The sequence below is a fragment of the Homo sapiens genome, chromosome 9, assembly GCF_000001405.40.
Source record: "Homo sapiens chromosome 9, GRCh38.p14 Primary Assembly".
Lineage (NCBI taxonomy): Eukaryota > Metazoa > Chordata > Mammalia > Primates > Hominidae > Homo > Homo sapiens.
The window spans coordinates 118,141,214-118,167,712 of NC_000009.12; the positions used below are offsets into that span (position 1 = coordinate 118,141,214).

General features: G+C 37.2%; 1 long non-coding RNA gene across 1 annotated transcript in view; it reads left to right on the forward strand.

Annotated features, from left to right (window-relative positions):
• Positions 1–25,801, forward strand: part of LOC105376247 (uncharacterized) — a 109,985-nt gene extending 84,184 nt beyond the window's left edge. Inside the window, exon 4 of the long non-coding RNA XR_930293.3 lies at positions 25,564–25,801. This is a non-coding gene — a long non-coding RNA (uncharacterized LOC105376247). The remainder of the gene's footprint in view (positions 1–25,563) is intronic.
• The last annotated feature ends 698 nt before the right edge of the window (positions 25,802–26,499 follow it).

A 26,499-nucleotide genomic window follows, 5' to 3' on the forward strand; every position in this document is an offset into this window, starting at 1 on the left:
ATAGAGTAAAATATTTAATGAGGTTTTACTATATAATGAATGGAATTTCAGTTACTTAGATATAGTTAAGAAGAATAGAAGCCATTTCCACACTTAGAGAGGTTTAAGAATGAATGTCAGAGACAAAATCTAAAGTTAAGCTTCAGGGTCCTCATTTATGTGAGTTCCTTCTCAATGCCTGAGAGTTAATAATAATTTACATTGTTCATATCCTTCCCTTACAACTCCCACACCGTCACACAGCTCCTTGTACTAGGTGTTTTTGGAGTAGCCATGAGAAGTTTTGCCTAATAATAGGCAAATAATTTGAGTTTAATGGATCACTTGCATACTATTTGCAAATATTCAAGCTGGTCTGTGACGAATAGGAGTTTACTGGCTTGAAACGTGAAAGAGGGAAATCACAAAAGAAAATGTTTAGATGGGATGGATGAATACTGGACAGAAAGATGAAGATGATGGGACTTGAAGTTGAGAAGTTTAGTTAGAGCTAAATTGTGCATAAAAGGTCATGGTCAGTAAAAGGATACATGTTGCCAAAGGAATTTTTAAGCAGGGGAATTATAAGAGGGTAACAGAATGTCATATAATGGGAATGGGCCATATCCTGGATTCATATCCTATATCTGTCCTCTCTAGATGCGTAAGCTGGTGAAATATGCTTAAGTTTACATCTAACTGGGGGATAAATTAGCATAATGATTGAAAGAATGCGCGCTTGAGTCTGCCAGCCTGGTTCTGAAGCTTGGCTTCATCATTTGCCAACTTTGTGATCATGAAAAGGTTTCCTAATATCACTGACTCTTAAGTTCTCTTCACCCGAAAAATGGGCATATAGAAAAACACAAAACAGCCTGTAATTCTTAGCATGGATTAAATAGGTAGGGAATGTAAAGGTTCTGGCCAAATGGGAGGCTTGATTATTCCACTTGAGGTTTTCCTTCTATAAAATTTATTCCAGCTGGGCATGGTGGCTCATGCCTGTAATCCCAGCACTTTGGGAGGCCAAGGTGGGAGGATCACCTGAGGTCGGGAGTTCGAGACCAGCCTAACCAACATGGAGAACCCCCGTCTCTACTAAAAATAAAAAATTAGCCGGGTGTGGTGGCACATGCCTGTAATCCTAGCTACTAGGGAGGCTGAGGCAGGAGAATCACTTGAACCTGGGAGGCGGAGGTTGCGGTGAGCTAAGATTCTGCCGTTGCACTCCAGCCTGGGCAACAAGAGCAAAACTCTGTCTCAAAAAAAAAAAAAAAAAAAAAAAAAAGATTCCTCTTTCATGGCAGAGAATTAAATCAAAGAAGGCAAGATGAGAATTCTAGTTAAGAGAAACCAAAGTTTACACAAAGATTTGAGCTATAGGAATGTGTGGAATGGAGAATGGATTTTAGAGGTGAAATAATTAGGCTTTATATTTGGTTGCATAGGCAATTTGAGAAGGGGAGGGAAGGTCACTAAGAAGGGACAGAGGCTTTTATCCTCTATTGCTGGAGTTGGCGGTGGCTTAAAAATGATGTGGTTGAAAAAAGGAAGAGCTTTATCAAACTTTTTTTATACAAATGAAAGAAAACATTTGGAAGGATAGTAGTGTTTCACAATCCAAGGAAAAGGTCAACAGCCACATCTGAGGAATAAGGCAGTTCCAGTGTAAAAATAATTATTCACTATCCCTTAAATAGGTGATTTACTACAAATATGACTTGGTTCCCCAGTGTCCTAGTCTCTCGTATCTTATTTGAAATTATTAGAAGAGATAGACTGATAGGCCATTGGCCAGACTATTATGTCTTTGAGCCAGATATTCAGCCATATGGGAAGTGGAAGGAATTCACAGAAAAGAGAAAGGACCTACTAAAGGTGGCAATGTTATTAATTTTGAATAAGCAAATTGTGTCATAGGAGCAGGAAGAGAGAAATGGAAATGAAGTACCTTCCAATTCTAAAGCCAGACAAAACAATGCAAGTTCAGACTCAGTATTTGCTGCCTTCTTTGGATGTCATCTCTGACACTTATCTTATTCACAAAAATCATATTTATTTGGTCCTGGTTTATCCACAACATCCACCTCAGGAAGACTTCTCAGCACTCACAAATGTGAAACTGTAATAACCTGGCAGGTGAATCTGAAATTGCTCTCATTAAGAGAATCAAAGAGATCTTCTGAACCTCCAGCTCACATCGGTACAAGTTGTTTCTTTTGTATAAGAACAGTCAACAAGTGCAGTTGCTTACAAACTGATATGTGACCTGTTAGCATAACCCAGACTTATGAAAGAGTCACTGTAATTATGTGCTTATTGGCATTTTGGAGTTTCAAGTCACTGGGATCTGGGATGAAGTGCTGTGGTTAGGATTCCACCTCGCAATGGCAGTAAGTTGTCCACCTCGCCATCACTGGTTTCTAAGCAACCTGCTTAAAGAGCTGCCCTTACTTCCAGGTCACAGATTGAGTTGGAAAACTGTATATAAGAATTACAAAGAAAAGTAATTGCAAGAAAGAGAAGAAGGTCACAGACATTTGTTTCTCCTGCCAGGTTCTCTTAATAGGCTTTCTGAAATTTGAGGGTCATACTGGCTGAGAGAACCTCTCAGAGGCAGAACAGAGATGGGCAATATTGCTTGACCAATGAAACAGTAGGAGTGCCTGGCAAAAAGTTTCTGTAATTTATACTGAGCTTCTCATGTAAAGCACTTAGGAAAGAAAAAAAAAAAGCACCAACTGTTTTATCAGCAGATAGAGGGTTGAGTCTCAGCACTGCTATTAATTTCCTTGGGTGATTATTGTATGTTTCTCAACCTCAGTATGTACATCTGTTAAATGCTAGCAGTCATAAAGAATTCTCTAGAGAGTTCGTCTGAAGAGATGATGAATGCATGCTGATGTGCTTTGGAACTATATAAAGCTATATAAATGCTAAATGTAATTGTTGAGTTTTAGGCTACATGATGTAGTTAAAATGAGTATACCTGTTTTCCAGGTAAGCACTAAGCTTTCCTACCCTTTTTTTTTTCTTTCTTTTTTTGAGACAGAATCTCCCTCTGTCATCCAGGCTGGAGTGCAGTGGCATGGTTACAGCTCACTGTACCTTTGACCTCTCAGGCTCAAGAGATCTTCCCACCCTAGCCTCCCAAGTGGCTGTGTCTACAGGTATACAATACCAAGCCTGGCACTTTCCTACTCTTATGTGTAAACATCTACCACCATCACTGTCTACACATACAGAACCTTGAAATGGATATGTATTTCTTACTATGTTTAGCATTGTATAAACACTTTGCTAGTGTTTTCTCATGAATCCTCACTACATACTTTGAAGTAGTAGGCATTATTCCTAATATAAAGATGAAGAAGCTGAGGCTCAGAGAAACTAAGTACTTTTCCAAGGTAGGCAATAGATCTGGGAATCAAACCCAGGTATGTTTAAGGCCAAAGACTATAGTACTCATAATGTCATACTTTCCCCCTGCTTAAATTCCATTGTTCCCATGAAGTCCTTATTGAGATGGCAAATCAAAAGTGTTTTTTTCTGTCCTTTGGACCTTCACAAAGCTTTGCACTGGGCAGTTATATTTATCTCAGTTATTTGTGAATGCTTTCTCTAGACAAGCCACCTTCTAAGAGTGGTAGCTACAAAACTGATAAGAAATCTATTTCTTTGTTAATCAGCATAGGCTGTGTTATACTGTGGTAACAAAGAGGCCCAAAATTCTCAGTGGTTTATCATAACAAAGAAGTTTTTTCTTTCTCATGCTACATATTCAACTCCATGTGGAATGATGTCAGGCTCTGCTCCATATAGTCCCATAGAGACTCAGATTAAGTCTTGAACTGTGCTTTTCCTTTTTGTAATTTTGTGTGTGTGTGTGTGTGTGTGTGTTACTGTTATCTTTTAACTTTTATTTTTTTTTATTTTATTACTATTATACTTTAAGTTTTAGGGTACATGTGCACAATGTGCAGGTTAGTTACATACGTATACATGTTCAGGGGTACATGTATGGGTTTGTTATATAGGTAAACTTGTGTCATGGGGGTTTGTTGTACAGATTAGGTATTAAGTCTAGTATCCAGTCGTTATTTTTCCTGATCCTTTCCCTCCTCCCAACCCTTCTCTCTCCAATAGGCCTCAGCGTGTGGTGTTCCCCTCTATGTGCCCATGTGTTCTCATCACTTAGCTCCCACTTATAAGTGAGAACATGCTGTATTTGATTTGTGTGTCTTTGTACCTAAACTGTGCTTTTCTAGCTTTGTTGAGCAAGAAGGAGAATGAAAAATTATACATTCATTTCTTAATTCTTCACTGCTTCAACTAAGAAGTGATACATATTATTTTTGCTCACATTTTTTGGCCTGGACTAGTCACATGCTGGTAACTGATGGCAAGAGAGAGGGCATTTTGAGGAGTAAATGGAATGACTCTGCTACATGCTTGCCTCTTAGAAACTCATAGTCCAATGTCATTTTCTAAAATACAAGCATCACAAGGACAATAATTTTTTTTTTTGCCTTTTTTGTTCACTGGCATATTCTAAGCACTTAGGACAGTGCCTGGCACATAGTCAACCTTCGAGAAACATTTGCTAGTTGATTTCCTGTAAAGAGATTCACAACAGTAGTTATTTTGGTTATTTGTATCCAGGTATTTTGTTCCTTGGTAGACTGTGCAAGCATTGAGGAAATCATCTGTATCTTATACACCTTCATCTTCCCTGCCTTTCACAGCCCAGCATAATATTTACACATAAAAGAAAGTGAACAAACATTTATTGATTAATCACATAATGCATTTCTGAACTTTGTGAGGTGGTGACAGTTCTTTCTACCCCATCACAGTTTACTTGGAAATGTGTGCATTATATATTCAAAGACAATGTACCACTCAATACATGTTGCTCATGCTCTGTCTTAAAGTGGGTCAGAGATGTTGCTAATGCACCTTTGGAGATGAGGAGAATATGGCTTCCTCCCTTCCTCTCTCCATCCATTCCTTTCTCTCTCTCCTTGTGTTTCTCTTTCCTTCCTTCCTTCCTTCCTTCCTTCCTTCCTTCCTTCCTTCCTTCCTTCCTTCCTTCCTCCCTCTCTCTCTTTCTTTCTTTCCTTCTTTCTTTCTCTCTTTCTTTCTCCCTTCCCTTCCATTCCCTTCTCCTTCCTCCCTTCCTCCCTTCCTCCCTTCCTCCCTCCCTTCCTTCCTTCCTTCCCTCCTTCCTTCATTTCTTCCTTTCTTCTTTCCTAGAAACACATTAGCAGGGTCCTGCTCTGCACACAAATGGTCTTAAATCTTAGACAAGTTCCTATTGACTCAAAACAAAGATAACTAATCATATATTAGGTCCTTCTAAAAAGTGAAGAAAAAGTGAAGAATTAGCAAGAAACCAATATAACCTGTTTTCTGTATGTTTACAGTAAATAGAATATGATCAATGTCTAATTTGGCTTGAGGCCTCATGTACATGGGACTTAAACTATACCCATTTTCCTTGGTGGCCAATCACACCTATTCAAGGCATAAGAATGTCAAAAGAAAAAAAAAATTGCAGTGCTCCCAACCATACATTTTCATTAATACCTTATTTTTAGTTTATTCATTTTTCAAACAACACTAATTTATTTTAAAATATATAACAGCATGTAGGGTTTAAAATGATCAATGGGATTTAACAATAAAACAAGTCATGTTTGGATCCGGCTGAATGGCCTTGAGGAAATGAATTAGTTGTCCTTTGTTTTGTAGTGAATATTGTATTGAGTAATACAGAAATGATGCTGAGTGTCTGAAGGAACAGTTTTGAGATTTAAATGAGATAATGTCTATAAAGTTTTTGGTCCAGTACCTTGCCTATGGGGACCACACAACAAATCATGGGAGAGAAAGAATTTTTTTTAAAGTACTGATGTGATCTTGAGTATCGAAACTTCTTGTTCTCTATGGACAAGCAAGCTATCTTTCTTCAATTTGACTCTATTTCTGTTTCTGCTGTCCCTACAATGAGAATCCAGTTATATCTTTACTTTCAAAATGAGATCCAATTAACATCTACAAGGAACCTATGACACTACTGTTTTTGGCTATAAGATAAACATTGTCTCACAAACAGTAGGTTAAATGAATTAAGAGTTTTTTGGGTTTGTTTTCTTTTGTTTTAGAAATGAGGTCTCTCTACGTAGTTCAGGCTGGTCTAAAACTCCTGGGCTTAAGCAATCCTCCTGTCTCAGGTTCCCAAAATTCTGGGATTATGGGCGCAAGCCACACGGTGGCCCAAGAGTTCATTTTCATCTCACACAAAAGAAGTTCAGATGTTAACACTCCCGGGATCACAAGTCATCAGAGACTTAGGCTTTTTCCAGCTCTTGACTACCATCTTTAGGGCGTGTTCAAACTTTAAAATGACTGCTAGAACTCCAACTATCAAGTCTGTATTCCAGAAAGAAAGAAGAGAAAGAGCAAAGGGGGACTGACCCTTTAAAAACAACAATTTAGAAGCCCTTCCTAAAACTATCCACTTACATTTCATTGACCATTTTTAGGCACATAGGAGGATAGAAAATGTAATTTTAATTTTAACTGTTTATTGCTCTTCTCCAACCCTCCCCCACCTCCACCTCAATTGGTTTGTTTACTATTCATCATGAGGGATGGAAGAGGAGATTTAGGGTAGGTCACAAGTAGTCTTTGCCACAATAGCCATTCTCCATTTATTGAGTCAATGCTTATTTATTGACCACCTCCTATGTGACAGACATTGTGTTGGGCTGCAGAAGTGATTATGGAGACAATTACCTGCCTTTACTGAGAGCCAAAGAAACAGAGAGAGTAGAGGATCTAAGTTCAGGAGATATGTGCTATACAGCCAGGAGATAAATACTGGAAGTAAGGTACTAGTAGAGTCAAGAATCAGAAGCCAGTAGCCAAGATACTGCTGGAAGCCTGGTAATCACAGCAGGGAGAGAGTCCAGTTGGCAATGAAAGGGTTACACCAGATATCAGACACTTTCTCTAATTATAAATTCCCTACCCTAAATCCTAAAGTGGATTTCCAAATGATAAAGCTTATAATTGTGTAGTCAACTATGGTTTTATGGTAATTTGGGATATTGTTCTGCATTCATTATCCCTTCTCTTTGGTAAAATTATACATTCACACCCTTTCCAAGGGAATTCCATGTCTGTCACCAGAGTAGGCAGAGAGAGCACATTTCCTAACCCAGAAATGGGCTTGGTCATGTGACTTCATTTGGCCTATGGGATGTCAGTAGATATAATGTGAGTAGGGCCACTAAGTGTGTTAATGTGGTTTGCCTTATCCTCCTCTGCTTCTGCCATCTGCCATAATACCCTGGGTAGCTTATTCGCCAGAGAATGAGAAAATATGTTGAGCAGATGTGAACAGACGTATAGCCAAGAGCCAAGCCCATTCTATTGGAGCAGAATCACAGCCAACCCATAGGGTTAAGAAATAAACTTGTTGTAAGCCACAGAAATTTGAGTTTGTTTATTACTCAGAATTATTACAGCAATATACAATGCCCTTTTTTTCTTTTTTATATCTTGCTTAGTGCCTGTGACAATCATGCATTTCATGCTCAGTTTAGAGATACGTAATTAAGGTTATAATAAGTTACATAGCTTTAATAGAAGGCACAGAAGTAAAAGATTCAGAAGAGTCATAAATATACTGATGCCTGTTAGCCTCTAAGACTTTCTAGTTTTCCAAGCTACCACTCCTAACTTTTGTCTACATTTTCTCATAGGGTTGTCATATAATCACATAAGATAATGTAATGAAAATATCTTTGTACAGCATAGGAAGTCCTCAATTTTTAGTTCATGAGTTTCAGGTGGATCAAAATCAATACCTGGCCTTCCAGGTGAGAGCATGACACAGGCCTGACCAATCAAAATACTGAAAAACTCTGGTTAAAATGACTGGTTCAGGGATGGGCAAAGTCAGGTCAATCAGAAACCTGAAACCATCCACAAAGAGTCACTTCCTCCCCCTGAGACACTGAGCACTAAGGCCCAGGTAGGCCTGAGGCTGCCAAAAGCTATCTTTGTCACCGTAAGAAGAAAACCTGCTTGCTTTTTCTCTACACAGAAGAAACCACAGCAGGGAATGCACCCCAAAAAAGACAGGGAAAAAAAAAAACAAACAAAACTAAGTTGTGATGACCTCAGTTATACAGCTGGATTCAGTCATTCCTGAAGTATTTTCTTATTTTTTGGCTAAAAGAAGAAAACAGGAAAAGATAACCAATATTAAGTACATTAGAAATATCGTGAGATCAGCACCTTGCTTTTGAGTTAAAAAAATGTCCTTGGAATCACATATTTTAGCTACCATTTATTGCCTCTGCCTCTTAAAATTCTTGGTGACAAACAGAACCAGGATAATTGAGGGGTGATATTGCTGGAGTCTGATTAATCAAATCAAAGATTCATTGTAACTGTTTCCAAATTTTGCTTACCTTCTGAAAAGCAAAGTTAACCTCTAGCACACCATCTCCTCCCTGCCTCCCAGATAAAAAACTTTACCCTTGTCTGAAAACTTATACATTTTTTATTTTTGGTTACAGTGTTTTAAATCTGTCTGCTGTATGAAGCTCAGTGATCTTTTCCACTCCTGAGTAAACCAAAAGTGGCTCTGTGTGTGGGGAAGGCATGGCATATTAGTGGCGACACATTCCTTATTCTTTCAATTTCACATATTAGAGGACTGGTTACAAAGGAATGGCCTGACGATTTGATACTCTCCCTTTTCTGATTTGTAATAACCTGCTTCCACTCAGCTCCTGCTTTTCAGAGACTATTGTCCTATATGAAACCTCTTCTTTATCCAACTGTCAGGTATTGCTAAGAAATGGGGATCATGGTGGAAGAAAGCAGGATGTACTAATTACCAGGAAAAAGATACCAGTATCTAGTTAACATTATTTGCTGAAATAATGTTGGACCACTGAGAAAATAGGGCTAGAGTATTTTCCCCTGTAGCAGGAGATAGCAGGAGGGCCTGTAAGAGAACACAGAATCTGAGCAATGGGAGGGAAAGTGGCAATTCCAAATACATGAGGATTTACTCTTTCAAGCCATCATGAGAAAATGAAGAATGTGGGATGTGTAAGATGTGCTGGTTGGTTTAATATTTTTGGTTTAGTAACCAAAATCACATAACTAGGAAATCGGGCAGTGATGATTAAACCTTGGGTTTGTGTGACACCAAAACATATATACTTTATTTTTTTATTCCTTTTTCTAAAAACATGTATGTAGGATTTTACTTGCTGCTCCTTGTGATTCTGGCTAATGAATTGTTTGCTGATGTAATGTGTATTCCTTCTAGGCTAGCATATTCAAGTGCCAGAGTAGCATCCTTGAGAGCCCCCTTCATCATTTTGCGCAGGAACCAGAAAAGGTCAAGATGATCACTTGCCTATCATCCTGAGTCTCTAAATGGCCAGAGTCAACCTCGATAGACAAGTAGAATAAGGGCAAAATACTTACTCTTTTAATCCATTAAAGCTTAAGGTTTTTTAAAAGTTACTTTTCATGAACAGAAATATTTTGATGGGCATATGTTATATTACAGACACTATACAAGGCATATTACTTACATTATACAATTTAATCTGTACAACAATGTTGCAAGTTATGTACTTTTATTTCCATTCTTATATAGACATTAAACATATCACACAGTGTTCAAATTACCTTTTGCTTTATAACAAACAAACCTAAAACCTAGTGAATTGAAACAATTTATGATTATCTCTCAAGGTTCTATAGTTGTCTTGGTATCATCTGGGCAGTTCTAAACTGGTTCTTTCATGTTATGGCAGTCAGATATTGGCTGGGACTACAATCATTGAAGGCTTGACTCAGCTGGCATCCAAGATGGCTCATGAACATGACTGGCAATTAGTGCTGGTTTGGGGCTGGGAAATCACCAGGGTTGTCAACTAAAACTCCTGCATGTGGCTTGTTTAGGTGACTTGGACATTTCAATCATGATAGCTGGAGTGCTTGACAGAGGATTACACAAGACACAAGGAGAAGCTTTAGGTCTTATTATGGCTTACTCTTGAAAGCCCAAGGATGTATTTTTCACTGCATTCCACTAGTAAAGAAAGTTGTTAAGACCAGCTCAGGCTTAAGGGGTGGATAATTTGACACAAGGCACAACATGCTTGCACAAGAAGAAAAGGAATGCACAGTGGCCATCCTTGGAGTCTTATATGTTATATGCAATTTATAAAATACAATCCTTTTCCTTGGTAAGATTATCATATGTAAGAGCTTTACAAGCTTTCATGAAAATAATCTACTTACGGGGGCAGGGATTGAAGCTGGGCAGAGCATGGTGGTTGATATGCTTTTGTGTAGGTCAAGATGGGTGAGATTATGTGTGAAAGTATACCAGCCCCAAACCACAGTCTTAACACAATAAATTTACTTTTTGTTTACACTCTGTGTACAAAATTGTTGAAATGGGAATCTGCTTATTATAATCACTCAGGGATTTAAACAGATGAAGTTTCATCTCATTAGACTGTACCTTTTGAACATTTTCAGTATCAGCAGAGCAGAAGAAGAAAACGCAGGACATTATATTCTTAATTATAAAGCTTCCATCTGGGAGTGAAAAACATCATTTTTCTTACCTCCCATTGGCCAATGCAAACCATATGGCCCTGTCTAAATTCCTGCTATGTGCCCATAAGGTATGTCAGAATATTTGAAATAGCTCTAATACCTCCACACCATGTTATCTGAATTCTTATATATTAGGACCAGATTGAATTTAGATAAAGCAGGGAAACTGAAAATCATCTTTATCTTCTGGGTCTCATATTTCTTTCAATGTACATTAATTTTCAAAGGCCATTACATTTGCTGAGTGTAATAGGCACAATTATTATATTTATATTTGATATCACATACAATTTACAGCTGGGTAAGTTCATATATAGTTACGTAAATTGATGTCTATAAGTTATATGTGGAGTTTTCACATACCTATAATTTCTGATTTTTTTTTTTCACTTCAATTTAGGTAGAGGGGTTAATATTTGTTCTGGTTTGTCAATCTAAAAGTAGAGTCAAAAAATAAAATGATTGGCTTTAGATTATATCGCACAGTTCTTTGACCCTCAAACAAGACATTTACTTCTGTACCAGGGATCCTGTACTTGTACTTGGAGTCTTAGTGAGGGTTCAAATTATCCATGAAGCCTGTAAACTTGCCGCATTGTGTATGTGAGTGTGAGTGTGTGTGTGCATGTGTGTGTGCTAGGTCTGTGTGTGTGTTCTTTTTTGAGTGGCTTAGGTTCACTATACCACAGCATTGTTGCAAACAATTAATAGGTAAATGGACATTTGAGACTGAGATGCCATTAATTCATCTGATTTCTACACATATAGTAGGTCTTAACATCAAAAGGTTGATGAATTGTTTAAAGAAAAACATGATGGGGCTTCCTAGACCTCCTCATTTAACAGATTTCATACTTGGGCTTCTTGCTGAGCCTTTTCTTCTGCCTCTTGCCATTGATTGTAAAAATCGAAGCTTCCTTCACGGGAAGCACTGAACAAGACATTCCATGTTTTCAGTGTAAAGTCCATCATTTCCAGCGTGGCTCACATCTCAGTGGGTGACAAAACTTCCTGATGTCCTGGAAAAGCTCTGCAAGTACTCAGGCCCTTGCCCACTTATTTCAGATCACTGGTTTGTTACCATTAAGTAAGCATTTTTATTTTAAATCTCTATTTACATTTATCAGGGCCCTTTCAGCTCAATTTGCAAAATGATGATTTGTATATATCTAAAACAGTACATCATGGGGTTCAGGTCATTTGCATTCCACAGTCATTTACTGAATACGTACTTTTTGCAATACAGCCATACAAGAAGTCACAAGCATAAGGCACGGGTCATGTCAGTCTTGCATATATGAAATCTAAACATCAGTATACATAAGCAAATATGGTATAGAGGAGTCAAACTGGCCTGGTTTGAATATCTTTTTCTGCTAGCTCTATGACTTAACTTTCTTGAGTTTCAGTGATTTCAACTATAAAGATGAGGCAACTGAGACCTATTAGAGAGTTATTTTGAAGATATAATGTAAAATGTCACATCAAATTGGGGGTAACACAGGTAAAAATACACAAATTAGGGGACGTGCATGACCTATTCAGGGAATAAATTTTGAGTATAAAATATAGGGAAGTTATAAGCAAAAGTGAGGCCAGAGAGAGAAACCAGGATCTTAAATCTCAAACTCACCCATTTGGACTTCATCCTGAAGTTAAAGAAAAGCCAATAAAAGGTTGAGAAAAGATTAAAAAGAATATAATCAACTTTTAAAAAACTTTTTATATAAAAACAATTTAATATTTGATAAGAAGTTTCAAAACTTATATTTTCAACATCCTTCATGCAGCTTACATCTTACATAACTATAGTACAATGCCAAATCGAAGAAATCAGCATTGATGTGATACTATTAAACCACAGATCTTACTCAGGTTTCACTAGGTTTTTTAAACATTTAATTAATTACTTAATTTTAAGTTTACAACTTAAAATTATATATATTTATCAAGTACAACGTGATGCTTTGAAATATGTACGCATTGTAGAATGGCTCAGTTGAGTAAATTGAACATATGTATTATTTCACACTTAACATTTCTTGTGGTGAGAACACTTAAAATCTACTGTATTAATGATTTTCAAAATATAATACATTGCTATTAAATATAGTCACTGTGTTGTACAGTAGATCTCTTGAATTTATTCCTCCTATCTAACTGAAATTGTGTGTCCTTCGGCTAGTATCTTTTCAACCCTGCTCTACTCCCACCCCAGCCCCTTGTAAGCATCATTCTACTCTCTGCTTCTGAGTTCAACTTTTTAGATTCCATGTATAGGTGAGATCACACAGTATATGTCTTTCTGTGTCTGGTGTATGTCATTTAACATAATAAAGCCTGTCACTTGTGACAACATGGATGAACTTGTTGGACTTTATGTTAAGTGAAATAAAGTTTCACTGATTTTTACATGCAATTTATTTTTGGTGTATAATATAATGCAATGTTATTTCATGTATAGTTGTTCTAACCACTAACACAATCAAGATACATAACTGTTCCATCACTACAGAGAAAATTCCTGCTGTTATTTCTTTATAGTCACACTCTCCACTCTCCCATAGCCCTAACTCCTGGCAACCACTGAACTCTTCTGTACCCCTAAAATTTTGTCATTTTGAAAGTGTTATACGAGTAGACTCATACAATATGTAACATTTCAGGATGCTTTTTTTTCACTTAGCATAAAGCCTCTGAGATCTACGTATTAGATGGGATGAGTGCTGTTCCATTTTGTGGATGTGCCAGAGATTGTTTATCCATCAGTCCACTGAAAGAAATACATTTGAGTTTTCTTCAGTTTAGAGTTATTACAAATAAAGCTGAAATAAAAAATTATTTACAGGTTTCTGTGTGGACATATTTTAATCTTACTTTAGAAAGAAAATAGGAAAAAAAGGCTTTAACTTTTTGAAGAAGTAGGTCTTCAGGAATGAGAGAAACAATTCATGTGTTCATCTCTAATCCTTTCAAGGATGGAGTGTAAACTTAGGACAGTTGTGGGAGGATAGAAGAGAAAGATTTGGGAAAAGTCCATCAGAATGTTGACTTAACTGATTCCTTAGATGTCAGTGGTGGTAGTTTGGATGGTGCGTAGACAAAAGTAGTTCAAAAATTTCCAGTTGGAGAATGTGGTGTTGATTTTGTCATCAATTAAAAGGCACAAAGAATAAAGAGTTTATGTTGGTGCTATTGAATAGGAAAGCAGGAAGCATTCATGTGGAAATGTGTAACAGGCATTTGGAGATTTGAACCAAGTACTCAGAAGTGAAATCAATGTTGGCAATAGAGATACATGAGTCGTTGCCAGGGAAGGGATAGATTCAGCCAAGGCTGTAGAGAAGATTGCAAGGGAAGAGCAGCAAACATCCCAATAGAAAGAGATTGGGTATGATTTCAATGTGACTATTTCTAGCCCAGATTACAACAAAAATCTTTAGACTTTATCCACCTAGGTGCATAAGATGACTTTAATCTCCAATTTATGTTCTGTAGAAGTTTACAATTCTCTCCAAGTTTCCCAGAAATTCGCAAGAGCATATTTTCTCCTGGTCACTTCTGGCATGGTGTAGGTGTACCTCCACATAAGCTGTTTTCACTGGACTCTGTCATTTGCCCAGACATCCTACTCAACCTTTTTCTTTTATCCCTTCCACCACAAACCCTCAAACAAAACAAAGCAAAACAAAATAAATAAATAAAAAATAAAAAAATAAAAAACAGGCAACGATGGCAACAGCAAAACTTTAGCACAAACCACTCAGCATCTATGTAATATTAACTTATCTCTTACTAAAGCTTCCAAGTAATTCTGTGGATGCTTTGAACAACAAAATCATCCTTAATGTGATCAAATAATTACTGAACAAAATTTAAAATTTTTGAAGCATTTTAATTTTACGGTTGTTTCCCTCAATTTGATATTTTATCAGACTATTGGTATTTTCAGATGCAACATCATTTTGGGAAGCTGAGGACAGGATAATTTATATCAAACACAGAGTCATAACTAACTAGATTTGTGATTTAAGAAAGGCACTGAATTTCTAGGAGTCTAAGTAGCCTCATCTTTGAAATGTATGCAATCTAAGTCATTTGTACTTAAGAGCACTTTGAGGATAAGATAAAACTTTTGATGGGGAAAACTTGGAAAATCAGAAGTACTGAAAAATGTTAGTCTTTCTTACTACCAATAGAGTAATAATTTTATTCTTCCATTAGTTCATTCCAGAATCATTTATTGTATGTATGTTACATTCTAAAACACAAAATAGTCCTGTAATTTTCCTGCTCAAAACACTTTTATCACTTCTTATTAACCTCAGGATAAAGGGAACATTTTTATTATGACTTCTAGGGCCATTTCTGATCTGGTCCATGTCTATCAAATCAGCCATGTTGTAGGACCAGCTCACCATGCCATCTTCCATATACTGCTTCTTCCTGAAATACTTCTCCCTGCCCTTTTCCTAATATGCCAGGACACTGTCATCTGCCTTGCATTTATGAAACATTCTTTAAAGGGATTCTTGCTTATGTTTCTGGGTTAATCTTTATTTTCTTTAATATAGCATTTATCACTCTTAATTCTACATCTTTTTAGTTATTGTGTCTATCCCTTTGATAGTAAACTCTCTGAATACCCAGGTTATACACATCATTTTTGTCTACCATTATATCTTTAGTACCTGGAACAATGCTTGTGGGATAACAATTTATAGCCCATCTCTATTAGGTGTAAGAAGTTTAGAGAGGAAAGTCACAGAGTCTTCCTTCAAGATGTTTACAGTCTAGTTAGTAACATTTTTAAAAGGGAGAGACATTATTTATTCAGTTCGTTAAAAAAATCTTAGCTTGAATTTTTGGCTTCCTTTGCAGTGGTTTGGATGTCCTCTTAATGGATGGGTCCATATGACTACTAGGTCACCAGGAGACTTGTTATTTGACGCTGCAAGCACTACAAACAAAATTAAGCTGGGTTAAATGCCTGTGGTAGAGTCCAGCGAAGGCAGAGCCCAGATTTATGGGGCAGTGTTTACAATGAAGAGACATGACCTATTTTTATTTGATCTGCACTATCCAAAAAGAAAATTGGATTTATAATTAAAGCAGGGGAAACGATAACTTAAGCATTGATTTTCCCATAAACGTGCCAACCTTCAGAACAGTGGCTGGTCTCTATGTTCTATACTCTGCTGCTAACTTTAGATGAATGAAACCTTCTTCAATAAGTCGACTTACAGCGGAGTGTATAAATTTTAGCTTGTAGGCCCTGATGACTCATCTTTATAGCTGAGATACTGCTCAGAGTTTGGATTAAAAGAAGAGACCCTTAAAAAATTAGGAAGAGGTATCCTATTGGGACCCGCAGCTTTGTATTTGAGACTCTTTATAGACCCACTGCTGATAAACATTCAGCTCCATCACTAATTTAGATTTCCGCAGTCTCTTTTGGAGATTAAATACAAAAGAATCACCATTTATCTGTAAAGGTAAAATTTACATCACCTATAATCTTTTCATAAATAGATACATCAGCCACCACATTAATACAAAAGTGCAATCTGAAGGAAGAAGGCCATTATATTTGCTTACTGTCAGATATAAAGCTGCAGTTGCAAGTCATGCATGATTTTAATAAGGCTTGATAATATGCTATCAGTTGGTGGGAGCTATAGATTGAACTCTTATAGATTTTTTTTGGCTTCAGCTTCCAAATAATCAATCATGTCAAGATATGAAAATCATTTCATTCCCTTCAATTGAAAAGAAGACGTGATTTAAAATGTCAGCTCTTGGATATATGAGCAGGATTCCTGTAATCAATCATGTGAAATAAACCATCTTATTTAGTAGCTCTTTTAAAGATAGGAAGCTTTAGGGGGAAAAATAAACTTTTATTTGCATAATTTGGATGAAGCTCAGGCATCATATGCAAATAAATAACAAAGATAAACATAGACCTGGGTTTTCTCTTTTTTTTTTTTTTTTTTTTTTTTCCGTTCAGTAACCTTGGCAAGGAATTGAGTAGATTCAGAAGACCTTAAACCCCAGGGTATGGGAGGGTAATATTGTCTACGGTATCTGAATACTGTCAACAACAAATTGGGGACTGGTTTCAGACCCAGGTAATCCTACTTCTTTCAGACCCATGTGTCTAGATTTAGTCCAGCTCCATCTCAGACTGGCTGGGCCACACAAAACAAGACTCTAAACTTGAGTTTCAGGTTCCCTAGCTCACAAGCTTAGGACAAAACTCAAAACTTGAGCTTTAATTTACCTAGCTGTGATCTGGCTGATTTCTTCTGTTCATACTCACGTAGGAGATCATGTTATAAAATAGATGACAGAGTGTTTCTGCAAATGGAAATTCTATAAAGCTCTCGACAAACCTAAGTGGTTAGCATCATGGCTAGAGAAAAAGATGTTAAAAGATACCAGGCTGGCTTCTTGGCAAACCGTAAAGACACAGCTAGACTGAAATCACACTCAAAGCAGGACTTGTCTGAAGAAATTGCTTTTACTCTCAGTAAGTGAAACTCTAGATTTTGCTAAACATTCTGTGTGCCTTTAGGCAAGTCATTTAACCTCATTGAACTGTAGTTTCCTCCTAAGTTAAAAAAAAAAAGTTTGGATGATATGATTTCTAAGGTTTTATTCCAGCAATAAAAATTGGTGTTTTTTTGAGAGTAGTTATTAACCCAGTAGAAATACAGATCACAGCTGAAACACATTCCTTCCACACCTAACAGGAACTCACAACCTGGGCCAAATCTCTTTAATTTACACAGAATTTGGAAAAGTACAATAAGATTGTGTCATTAAGACCATTATGGCAATAATGACAAGAAACAGCATAAGTAAAATCATTTTTAGCAGGCAAAATTATTTTATTTATGTTATGCTTAACAAAATTATTTGTGTCATCACAGCCCCTTCCAGATATAACCTTCTATGGGCTCTTTGCTTACATAGCCTAAGAAAGTATGCTGGGATAGAAGTCCTTAAGAGACCTAGGCCTGGCGCTGTGGCTCAGACCTGTAATCCCAGCACTTTGGGAGGCCCAGGCGGGCGGATCACCTGAGGTTGGGAGTTCGAGACCAGCCTGACCAACATGGAGAAACCCCTTCTCTACTACAAATACAAAATTAGCTGGGTGTGGTGGCGCATGCCTTTAATCCCAGCTACTTGGGAGGCTGAGGCAGGAGAACCACTTGAACCCGGGAGGCAGAGGTTGCAGTGAGCCAAGATCATGCCATTGCACTCCAGCCTAGGCAAGAAAAGCAAAACTCCGTCTCAAAGAAAAAAAGAAGTCCTTAAGAGACCTACTTTAATGATTCACTGTAAGCACACATAATTATTTTGTCAAGCCTTATGTATTCCTGGATGCTTTTAATGTGCTTTGGAATATTTAAAAATTGTAAATTATCTTGAAGTGTTTAAATATTTACACAATTGATTTCTCTATTTTTAAAAATAAAAGGACTTTTTTAATTAAGGGAAGTTTAGTACACAGTCCTTTTCTGTATGTTATTGGGGCCAAAATTCACAGGTATTGAATACAAAAACAGTTGAGAAAAGGTAATTTCATTCTTTAGAAGGAAAAAGTAGCAAGTAAAGGTACAAACTAAGATAGTCAGTGTAGAAAATGTGTTTGACATTTGCTGTCTACATCCAGAATTTTATATATATGTATGTATGTATAATAGCTTACCTTCTCATCCTCAGCAAATCAACCTTGAAGCTCTGGTTTCTTCTATCTCACTCTGCATGTGCACAAGACTACGTGTGTGTTTTGCATATTTTCTCTTTAATTTTGACTGGTTGCCAAAAGTTACCCATATTTTATGAAGCACAGAGAGTGGTAAGATAAGAGTTCCTTGCTCCATAATTTCTTCATACCGGGGAGAGATGGGTTTCTCTCCCTTCTTGTTCATTAACGATGCACGAAGCTTAGACTTTTAACTTTCTCTCGTTTTTTCCTCTCCTGGTTCTGAGGAATTTCTCACATCACTTGACATAAGAGGTTATATGATAAAGACTCGCTAGCATCTTTTTATCCTGCTGGTATGCTTCCTGAGCAATCTTAGCTCGTCAACTGGCTGGAAAAGCAGCCTCTGTCATTACAGAATGTCTGTTATATCTTTAAAAGAAAAGAAGGAAAAAATTACCATTACCTGAACATCCGCTAGCCCTGACAGTGCTGCCACTTTCTCACTTCCAGAATGTAGATGCTTTCTCTCCATTCTGCCAAATAATAGAAAATAGTGATTCACTGAGTCTGATTGAAGCAACTGGCATTGGTGATCATACTTCAATATTTCTCTCATATTTGAAGTTAGAATTAGTTGATGTGAGATATTATATTAGCCTTAACTAACTCAAGGTGTGATGTGAACTTACTATTAACCCTCTCCTTCCTGAAATTCTTCACTCAACATCCAGTCTACCATAAATCTTGTCTTTTCCACCAGGTTGCTCCTTCTCAGTCTCCTTTGCTTGCTTTCCTTCATCTCTGAGATCCCTTAGTACTGCAACGAGCCACATTACTCACTCTCCTAATGATTTATTCCAGTCCATGTATTTAAATAACATTTATACTTAGAAGATCACTCACATTTCTACCTCCAGCCCCAGACTCTCTTAACCAGGCTGTTTTATCTACCCATGTATTTGACATTTACACTTAGATATCTAAACATTTCAAGATGGTATCAGGGTATATGTATATATCCATACTTATCAAGATATTATACACTAAATATGTGTAAATTTTGGTATATCAATTATACCTCAATAAGATAGATCCAAAACAAAACTCTTCTTATCCACAGTGTTTCTCATCTTAATAATTTACAAATCTGTCTTTTCAGTTGTTTAGCGCATGTCCTTTAGAATTAGTTTTGACTCTTCTCTTTCTTATAGTTCACTTTCAATCCAAAGTAAACCTGGAAATTCAATCATCAAGAATGAGATATTTCAAACACTTCTTACCAAATTCACCAAGCTCAGCCTTGTCCAAGCCACTATGATCTCTTTCCTACGTAATTGCAATTGCTTCTCAACTGGTCTCTCTACTTCTGTCCCCATTCTTCTATGTCTGTTCTTAACAGGTGTAATCTGGTGAGACATAACACATCGTGCTGCTCCTCTGAGCAAAGCCTCCAACATATTTGCAGTTCATTTGAAGTAAAAAGCCAAAGCCTTTCAATGGCTAACAGGGCCCTATACAATGCCCCCTACCCACTACCTCTCTGAGTTTGTCTTTTAGGACTCTCCCTCTGGCTTACTCTTCTGCAGCCACACTGCTCTCATCATTTCTTAAAAGTCCCAGGGACAAGCTGTCTGAGGTTTCTGCTGTTGCTGTGCCCTCTGTGTAGAAGGCTCTTCTGCTAGATATTCACATGGCCTGCTCTCCTATTACCTTCAGGTCTTTGCACAATGTACACCTTCTCAATGAGGTCTTCCTTGACCATTTTATTTAAAAACAGACCAAGCCCAACACTACCTAAACTCCTAGAATGCAAACTCTCTGGAAACAGGGATTGTTATCTATTTTATTTCGGCTGTTCCCCAGTGTACAGAACAGTACCCAACAGAAAACACTTGCTCCTTTAATGCTTGCTGAATTAATGACAATGAAAGCTAGGCAATCTGAGGTCTCTCTCTTTTCTTGTCACTCTCTTTTAATTGTCTATGATCATTCCAATTACTCTGAAAATTCTTTTTCATCCAGAAATATACTACTGTCTTTTTTAGCTCTAGCCTTTTACCCACAGTGCTCTATAGCCTTTAACCCCTCTTTTGATTGGAAATATTTTCCAATCAAATTCAATTTTGTTACTTGTTAGCCACAAGCAACAGAAATCCCATTGAACAGCGACTTAAACAAATGGAGCTTCATTTTTCTTACTTACAGATGTGTTTGAAAGTGAATGTTTGTTAGCACTGATGCAGTAACTCAAGAAGTACTGCGAATTTTGGCTTCATAACTCTTGTGGCCCTTGTCTCTTGGTCACAAGATAGCTGCAGCAGCTCCAAGAAACATTTTTCCATGTAGAAAAGATAGGGTATTTTTGTAAGTATCTTCCTCTAAGCAAGTAGGAAAACACCTTTTTCACACTGTCATCCTTCCCCTGGTAGACTTACACTTGTATCTTTTTGAACATAAATAGGCTCCAACTCTCTGAGAAAAAAAAAATGGGGGTGGTCGGGGAGGATACCTTTTGATAGGCAAAACCTACCATTCTTTATCCCTTATACTTCCTATTACTTTCTTCTCAGGTCTTAACTCAGATCTATTATTTCATGTTGGATGTCCTTCCTGACCAGTCTTCTCCCTTCACAATTCTGGGATAAATGCTCTACTTCTTGGGTCCATAGGCCTTGAAGTTGTCTTAGATCTGTGCTTTAATGCAGAGCTATAAACCTGTGTTCATTTTATGTTCACCCCCTCCACATACAAACACATTATGCATTTCAGCAGAAGAAAGGATTGAGACCTCTGGATAAATACTAAATTTTTGTCATTCACATTTGAACTTGCAGGATCTAGCCTCCATTTACAGAATGAATGGATTTTTTTAAATGAAGAATTTTTCTCTTAGTGGTCTTTAAAATCAATTTTAATGTTAAATAAATGTTTTTATGATGATTTAAATCCTTTTCTCATGTATCTGTAGACTATGCCAACATTTAGACTTTTATTATCACCAAACTTCCTCCCTCATTTAAGAACTTGAAACCTCGCCACTTAAATAATGTAATGCACGTTACTAAATTCTTAGTTGTCATTTGAACATTGTTTGGCACAACTAGGGAAACGAAATAATATTTTGTTTTCCAAATTGTGCCAACTATCAAGATGCAGGTAAAAAAATAAAAATATATACCGTTTGTTCTCTGATTATCATAACAGACACACTCTGCCTTCAGCATGGATATACCATGACAATATTTTGGACTAAGGGTAGGCAAGGTTGAAGGTAGTGATGGAAATAGAGTCAACATAGTTACACATTAGACAGAGTGATTAATGCTAAAGTTGAGAGAAAGCATTTCAGAGCAGGTGAAGTGTGCAGGCATGCACTGGTAACTCCCGCCTGGGTTTAATTTCCAGCCTTTCTTTTTTTTTTTTTGAGATGGAGTCTCACTCTGTCACCAGGCTGGAGTGGCACAATCTTGGCTCACTGCAACCTCCGCCTCCTGTGTTCAAACTATTCTCCAACCTTAGCCTCCTAAGTAGCTGGGACTACAGGTGTGTGCCACCACACCCGGCTAATTTTTTGTATTTTTAGTAGAGACGGGGTTTCACTGTGTTAACCAGGATGGTCTCAATCTCCTGACCTCGTAATCCACCCACCTCGGGCTCCCAAAGTGCTGGGATTACAGGTGTGAGCCACCGCTCCCGGCCACAGCTTTGTTTTGTAAGCCACATAAAAATGGGCACATTAGTTAACTACCCAAGTCTCAGTTTCTTCATCTGTGAAATGGGGATCACACTTAACCCCTCTCAGGAACCATTCTGAGTTTCAACTTACATACTTCTTATATAGTGATTAGTCCAGTGTCTGGCACACAGTTTGTTTTCAATAAGTGCTAAAATTTATTATTGTCATTATTATAAACAAGGCACTGTTAGATCATAAGATGTGAAGTAATTGACTGTACAAAATTGTGTGTTCAAGTAATTATAACAAATTAAATCGATATTTGCTTCTCCTCCTGTTTGGGAATATAGTTCTCTATTTTTTCTACTTCTAGATTCAATTATCTGAAGAGTGAGCCCCCTGCAAACGGCAAAATCAACGAGATTTTGCAATGTGTCCCACTTTCCCTTGTCCTGTGTTATGCCACTATTTCAATTGCCCTGCTTCTTCCCACCATTTTATTTCAGACTTTCACTTCTAGTAACTGTAACATTGATGTGAGTTTAAAGGACTTTAAATCAGAGTACCTTTTGAGATAGAGGGTATCTTCAAGTTCAATTGGCTCGATCCCTTCTTTGCATACATGTGAAAATGAGCCCTGCTGTGATTGGCTTGAGACTGCAGAACTGTTTTGTGCAAGAACAAGAGTTGAAACACAGGTCACTGAAATGCATACTTATTCCATATCTGATGTTACCTCCTCCTGAATTATTCATGAGAGCAGGGAGTAGAAATGCAGAGGTGGTACTTTTCATCAGAGGAATGCAGGACCAAGTCAATTTCAGTACTTCTGACATGGGCGATAGGGATGATATTGGATGAGGCAATGGGAGGTCTTTAATATTCTTAATTGTTATCAACTATTTTGCTTTCCACTCAAGACAGGACTTTTGCTTAAACTGGCCATCTATTGAAGATAAGCTTATTTTCTTAGGGGAGATAAAAAAAATACATGTAATAAATTAGTAAATTTTTTAATAGGCTACAAGGTCACATGTACTATTATTAAAATAAAAAAGGGAGTCCAGGCGTGGTAGCTCACGCCTGTAATCCCGGTACTTTGGGAGGCCAAGGTGGGTGGATCACGAGGTCAGGAGTTTGAGACCAGCCTGACCAACATGGTGAGACCCCGCCTTTACTAAAAATACAAAAATTAGCTGGGCGTGGTGGCATGTGCCTGTAATCCCAGCTACTCGGGAGACTGAGGCAGGAGAATCGCTTGAACCCAGGAGGTGGAGGTTGCATTGAGCCAAGATGGCACCACTGCACTCTAGCCTAGGTGACAGAGCAAGACTCTGTCTCAAAAAAAAAAATAAATAAAAATAAAAATAAATAAAGAAGAGGAATAAAGTAGAGCAGGGTAAGTGGGATTAGAAGGGCAGGGAGTAGGAAAGCCACAAGGTAACATTAAATAAAATGGTCATTGTAGGTCAGAGTAGCCTAGATATCATTCTGAATCTCAGGAGCCTCCCATCTAAACATCTTGTTGAGCACTATTCTCTGGACAGTCTATTTCTCAAGAATTTGTGTGAAATATGTGATTATACATGAATGCATATAAACATATATGAATGTATACATGGCTAGAAAAAGGACCTTAAGATAATATATTTAGTCCCCTAGCCAGAATTTGAATCTCCTTTATAGCAGCATTATAAGCTTAGATCAAAACATAGGTGAGAACAATTAGAAAGTTCATGAGTCAATGATTTGTTGACACATTTCTTATGAAGGCTAATTGCTTGTTAGCTGAAACATGCACCTCAGTTTTAGTTAGAGACACCAGCATAACAAAGGATTGGCTAAGAATTTGGAACTCTTCTGTCATATAGAGCTGTCAAGAAACTATTCACAAAGGTTGAAATTCTAACTTTTTACATATTGCCATATAAGGCTTTAACAGAAGCAAATTCTTACTGAAAAATTTTCATCTCTCCCTCTCTCTCTCTCTCACACACACATACACACATATATACACACATGAGTTAATCAGTTCTTTATACAATACCGAGGTTTTTTTTTAATTTTAACTACCAACCCCTGCCATATTTGATAGTTTCTGATTTCTAACACTGAACCAGATTGGTCTTTAGAGTTACCACATAAAACCCAGAGGCAACAGCTGAATTTAAATTTCTGATAAACAATGAATATTTTTCAGTATAAGTATATCCAAAATATTGCATGGGACATATTTATACTTAAAATTATCTGTTGCTTATCTGAAATTCAAATTTAACTGGGCATCCCATATTTTCATTTGCAAAACCTGACAACACTAAGAGTCTTCAGATCCCCAGAGAAAATTCTGATTGAACACTTCCTGTTTTCTTTCTTGTGCTCTAAACCAGCATGACTATGTACATCTGAGCAGTACTGCTGTATAACTGGCCATGCTTCAATCATTAATTAATTCATGTATTCATTCATGCAATATTATTTTTGCATGCCTGCTACATGTCAGGCACTATGCTAGATGCAAAGTGAAATACAGTATATCTGATATAATGGTAGGCTAAATAGATATGAATCTTTACCTGATTTGGTTTATCGTAAAATAGGTAAATAATTACCTATTAGAAAAATGCCCCTAAAGTGTGATAGTGTTAGTGAACCCAGCACACACCACGAATGTGTGAATTTGCTGATATGCACAGTGGAAGTCGGTAATTGCTGTGCTGACATCCCCTGCATAAATGAGGGAGATGAAGTCTTTTCAAAGAGTGGTTTCCAAATGCTTACTGATTTTGCATCAGTCCTGGACATATTGCATGACATTTCTGAGCACTTTGTATGTGTCAAACACAGTGCTGGGCTCAGCACTTCATTTAAAACTCAAAGCAGTGCTAAAAGATAAATCCAGTTATAATCTCCATGTTACTAATGAGGAAGGTGGGACTTAGAAAGCTAAATAAATTGCACAATTCTACACAACAAAAATATGATGAAAAAGCTGGGATTCCCACAGAGGTCTGATCTTTCTAAATAGGTAGTCTTAACCTCTGTGCTATGCTACTTGAATGACTTAGGAAATTGTTAAACATTATTGATCTCCAGAGTTTCTGAATCAGTAAGTCTAGGATAAGTTTTGAAGAATATATTTTAAACAAGTCCCCTCAGTGATTCTGATAACAGCAAGATTTAGGTTCCACTAATTTAGAATGTCAAATTCATCAAATATCATCAAAGTAACTTAGAGTATTATTATACAACACTCTGGTTTACAACTGTCAAGGACATCTGCTGTAGGAGTTTCCACATACGGGGCAGTGAGAGGCATAGGAAAGGAGATAAATATCCAGGGTTCCTAGCACATGTATATTTTGTTATTATTTTTTTTAAGACCAAATTTTCCTACTTTGCACAACAATTCCTCAGGTGGTCTAACTCTAATGTCCCTTCCTCCTGATTATTCCCCTCTAAGATTAGGCTGGTTTATTAAGGACTGTGACAGGTTTAACATTAAGCATGTATTCTTTCCCAGACATGACTTTTCTAGAGAAGATGAGAAGGAACTAATTTTAAACACCTGGCCTTGGTCTGATGCATCCGTTACCTCCACCAGAAAGGATGGCTAAAGGCAGAAGAGCCTGAGAGAGGAGACCCACGTGGCACACACTGCCGTACACTTCCACAAAGAGTAAGTGAAAACTCAATGCAGAATTGAACATAGTTGACGATGAGGTCTCCACAGTGAGTTTGTGGAAGTTCCAGCAGTTTGATGAGAGGTAATGAAATGTAACCACACTATTTTCTTTCTTTCATTTGTTTCTTCTTTTTCTCCTCTTCTTTCCTTCTCACTCTCTCTTCTTTCCTTTCTTTCTCTCTTCCTTCTTTAAAACAATAATTGCTTATTTAACATTTTTTAACGATGCATACTTACATGCAGAAAAATGCAGAGATTCTGGGCACAAATCCTGATGATTTTTCACTAAGATAACATACCCATGTAACCACCACACAGATTAGGAAAGAGAGCATTATCAACATACTAAAATCCCACACTAACCCACAGGTTATCATTCTATCCAACAAACCGGACGATTATCCATATTCATATCATCAGAAATTAGTTCTGCCTGTTTTTGAACTTGTACTAGAGAAAATGATACTGATGTACTGTTTAGTCTGTGACTTATTTTGGTAAATATTATGCTTATAACATTTGTTCAAATTATTTGGTGTAGCGATAATTTGCTCTTTTCCATTTGTTCTTTTTCATTCCTTTTTCATTCTGGGGATATATCGAAAGTTATTGCTTCTACTATTTATGGACATTTGGCTTGTTTCCAATTTGGGGATATTGCTGTAAGTACCAGTAATAGAACTAATAATACTAGTGATAGTGCTAATAACTATTGCTAACAGCACTGCTGTGAGTATTCTTGCACTCCTCTGTAGGTACACATACCTGCATTGC